Below are 3,834 nucleotides of genomic sequence, written 5' to 3'. Positions count from 1 at the left end.
CGAGACCTGCCTGGCCAACATGGCAAAACCTTGTCTCGACTAAAAATATAAAAATTAGCCAGGCATGCACACCTGTAGTCCCAGCTACTCAGAAGGCTGAGGCAGGAGAATCGGTTGAACCCGGGAGGCAGAGGTTGCGTTGAACTGAGGTCGTGCCACTGGACTCCAGCCTGGGCAACAGACTGAGACTCCAAGTGAAAACAACAATAACAAAAATAACATAAAATAATCAAAGATGAGGATGGCAACCTCAGTAGGCCAAGGAGAGTATACAAAAGATTTAAATCAGAAATGTTATGCCTAAGGTAAACAGAGAATTATTAACATAAATAATATTATAATTATTTAAAACAATTATAATTAATAATTATCATAATTATAAATAATTAAAAATAATTATAATTTAAAATTCTTATTTTACATTGATGGGAGTTCACAGAAAAGAAATGAAACTCAAAGAAGTGGCTTAACTCAGTGGCTTATATATTATTCTAAGAAAGCAAAGAAGGTTTGGGCTTTAAAGATTGATAAATTGTGGGGAAGTGACTAGAATATATACAGCAGAACTAATGGAAGATAAAGGTTATTTTAGCAAGGTCTGTTTATGCAGATTACTTTCAGTATCAGCTCTGTGTCTCTGATGATGAGTGCTCTCACCTTCATAATATAGGGAAGGGACACCTTCACAAAGACTTATACCCTGCTTTTAGGCAGACAAGGAGAGGGCAGAGAACCCTTCCTCCATCTGTTGATCGTTGATTGCCTTTGACTCAAAATAATCTTTATGCCCAAGTTGCATATTTCGAGGTGGCCTATTCTAATCCCCTTTATAACCAAAGATTCTAAAGTAGTAATTCTTGATATTTTTGGTCACAGGGTTCTTTATACTGTTAAGATTTATTGAGAATAAATACACCTTTTGTTCATGTGGATTATATTTATCAATATTTATTGTATTTGAAATTAGAACAAAATGTTTAAATGCTTAGTAATTCATTTAAAATAAAAATAATAAATCTGGTATATGTTAACATACTTTATGATAATAGCTATGTTTTTCATAACAAAAAATGAGAAGAGGTGACTTCTCTTTTACATTTTGTACATCTCTTTAGTGTTTGGCTTCACGGAAAATTACTGGATTCTCATATTTGCTTGTGCATTAAATTTGTTTTGACTTAAAAAATGGGCTTCAATGGAATACTATGCATTGTAACATACCCTTTCCTTTTATTGAATTCTGATTCTCTAAGCGCCATTTTACCATTTTACCATTTTGTAGGTTGTTGTAGGTAGCTGGAAAATGTGTAAATTCTGTCTTCTCTGTAAAGGTTTAAGTGTCTTCCCTTAAGCCCCATGAAAAAAACAGGTTTACCTCCATTTGCAATTTATTTTAACATTTATTTATATAAATTTGAGCTTTTTTGACTTTTCCATTAAATCAGTCTGGTTCTCTTAGCTAATGAGTAGAGCAAAATTATAAATGCATGATCATTTTATATCCAAAGTGAGTCATGATTTTACTTTTTTTAAAGATATTTTTTCAACAGTTCTATCTCTTGTTATGGAGGATTGGTAAACTCCACTGTATACGCTTTAGAGAATTTGAGTGAAAAAGAAAAATAATAACAAAGTATTAGTATGAAAATAGTTTTGACCTTGCAGACTTCTGAATATATTTTGATATTTTCAAATATCAAACCGTATTTCAAATGTCAGAACCATAGTATTGCTTCATAATTTTGAGAAGAGTTCCCTTACTTAACAAAGCCAATAAATAAAACGTTTTTTGAAGTAAAGTCACAAGAATGGTGAGGGGAATCCAAAATGTATCCTGATAGAAAAATTCAAAGAAACTGAATAATGCATTTAACATAGAAAAGAGAAAAAAATTTAACACATAATGTTAATACTTAAAAGTTTAAAAGGCTTTACATAGAAGACTATGCCTTCTCTTATAAAAAAGTGGAGTATGATTTCCCTCACATTAAATTCAGTGCAAATTTAGTGACTTGCTTCTTATGAGTTGATGGAGCAGGAAGTGACACGGAATGACTTCCACAGTGAGGTTATTCAAGGTGATAGAGCTTTCCTGATTGTCTGTTTGGACAATTATTCTTGGAACCCAGCCACCATTTCATGAAAAAAACAAGCTTAGTTCAACAAGGAGAGTCCACCTGTAAATGTCTGGCCTCCAGCCCCAGCTAAGGTCCAGTCAACAACCAGCAACAACCACCAGATGTTGTAACTGCCCAATGGGCTCTCCTGGCCCACTGCCCAGAAAATACCAATTTATCAAGACAAGGGAATTGCAATAGAGAAAGAGTTTTATTTCATGCAGAGCCAGCTGAACAGGAGACTTGAGTTTTATCACTTAATCAATCTCCCTAACAATTTGGAGACTGGGTTTTTTTAAGGACGGTTTGGTAGATAGGGGGTCAGGGAGTGGGGAGTGCTGATTGATTGGGTTGGATATGAAATCATAAAGAGTCGAACTGGATTCTTCTTGGTGTTTCCTGTTCCTGGGTGGGACTGCAGAACTGATTGAGTTAGATTACTGGTCTGGGTGGCACCAGCTGGTAAGTCAGAACACAGGGTCTTAAAAATATTTTGATCACCAATTTTAGGTTTTATAATAGTGATTTTATCCCTAGGAGTAATTGGGAGGCTCAGAATCTTGTGACCTCTAGCTGCATGATTCCTAAACCATAATTTCTTATTTTTGTGCCTAATTTGTTAGTCTTACAAAGGCAGTTTGGTCCCCAGGCAAGAAGAGGGCTTGTTTTGGGAAACAGCTGTTACCATCTTTGTTTCAAAGTTAAACTATAAGCTAAGTTCCTCTCAAGTTAGTTTGGCCTACACCCAGGATGAACAGGGATAGATTGGGTGTTAGAAGCAAGATGGAGTTGGGTAGGTAATATCCCTTTCACTGTCATAATTTTCTCACTGTTATACTTTTTGCAAAGGTGGTTTCCATGTCACACTAAACAAGACTTCAGCTCCCAGTTCTTGGTCTGCCCCAGCCCCGGCAAAAGCCAAGTAGTGCAGAGACAAGTTGTTAACTGTCAAGCACTGACCAACTGGTAAATCTGTGATCAAAATTTATATTGTTTTTTAACCAGTATGCTTTTGGGTGGTAGTGTAGTGAGACATATCCAGAACAAACAGCAATTACTTCTTAAAGGGCTATCACTAAATTTTTAGTGATAATAGCATGAAAATCAATTTTCGTTGATTATAAGAAGACTTTCATAGTGAAAATCTCGTAAAGGTACAGCATAGAATGAGAATATTGGTAGAACTGTGCCTAAGGTTATCATATAAAATTCCCTTATTTTTTAGAGAAGGAAACATGGACTGAACAAGGTCAGAAGATTTGTTCCTCTACTCCATAATGGCCCAGCCAGAATTAAACCAAAAAAGCCTGAATCTTAATCAGCTTCATTTTCTTTATTTTAATTGGGAAGCCTTGGGTTTTCTACAACCAGGGCCCTTCAAAGAGTGTGATTCCTTACTTGTCAGGAGTCTAGTATAAGGGAGTAAAGGCTTACATAGGGTTATTGCCTAAATAATGTACAAGGGCCTTTCTAACACTGACATATTACGATTCTATGACTTAAAAAAGAGGTGTTCATAGACCTATGTGAAATAAGGGTCTTCCCTCTAGCATACTTCTTACATTTCTCCCAGATTAGTAATTTATGTTTTTTATACTTTTAAATATTCTAGTATTTCAGTGGCTAATTATTTCCCAATGAGACTAGGGCTGTATCATGCATTTAAGTACTCAATGATTATCTTATTAATATTTGTTAAGAGCCTACATGTGCTCCA

Source organism: Homo sapiens, chromosome 3 (genome assembly GCF_000001405.40).
Source record: "Homo sapiens chromosome 3, GRCh38.p14 Primary Assembly".
Lineage (NCBI taxonomy): Eukaryota > Metazoa > Chordata > Mammalia > Primates > Hominidae > Homo > Homo sapiens.
The sequence above is the reverse complement of the archived record's forward strand: the minus strand, read 5'-3'. Positions refer to the sequence as shown.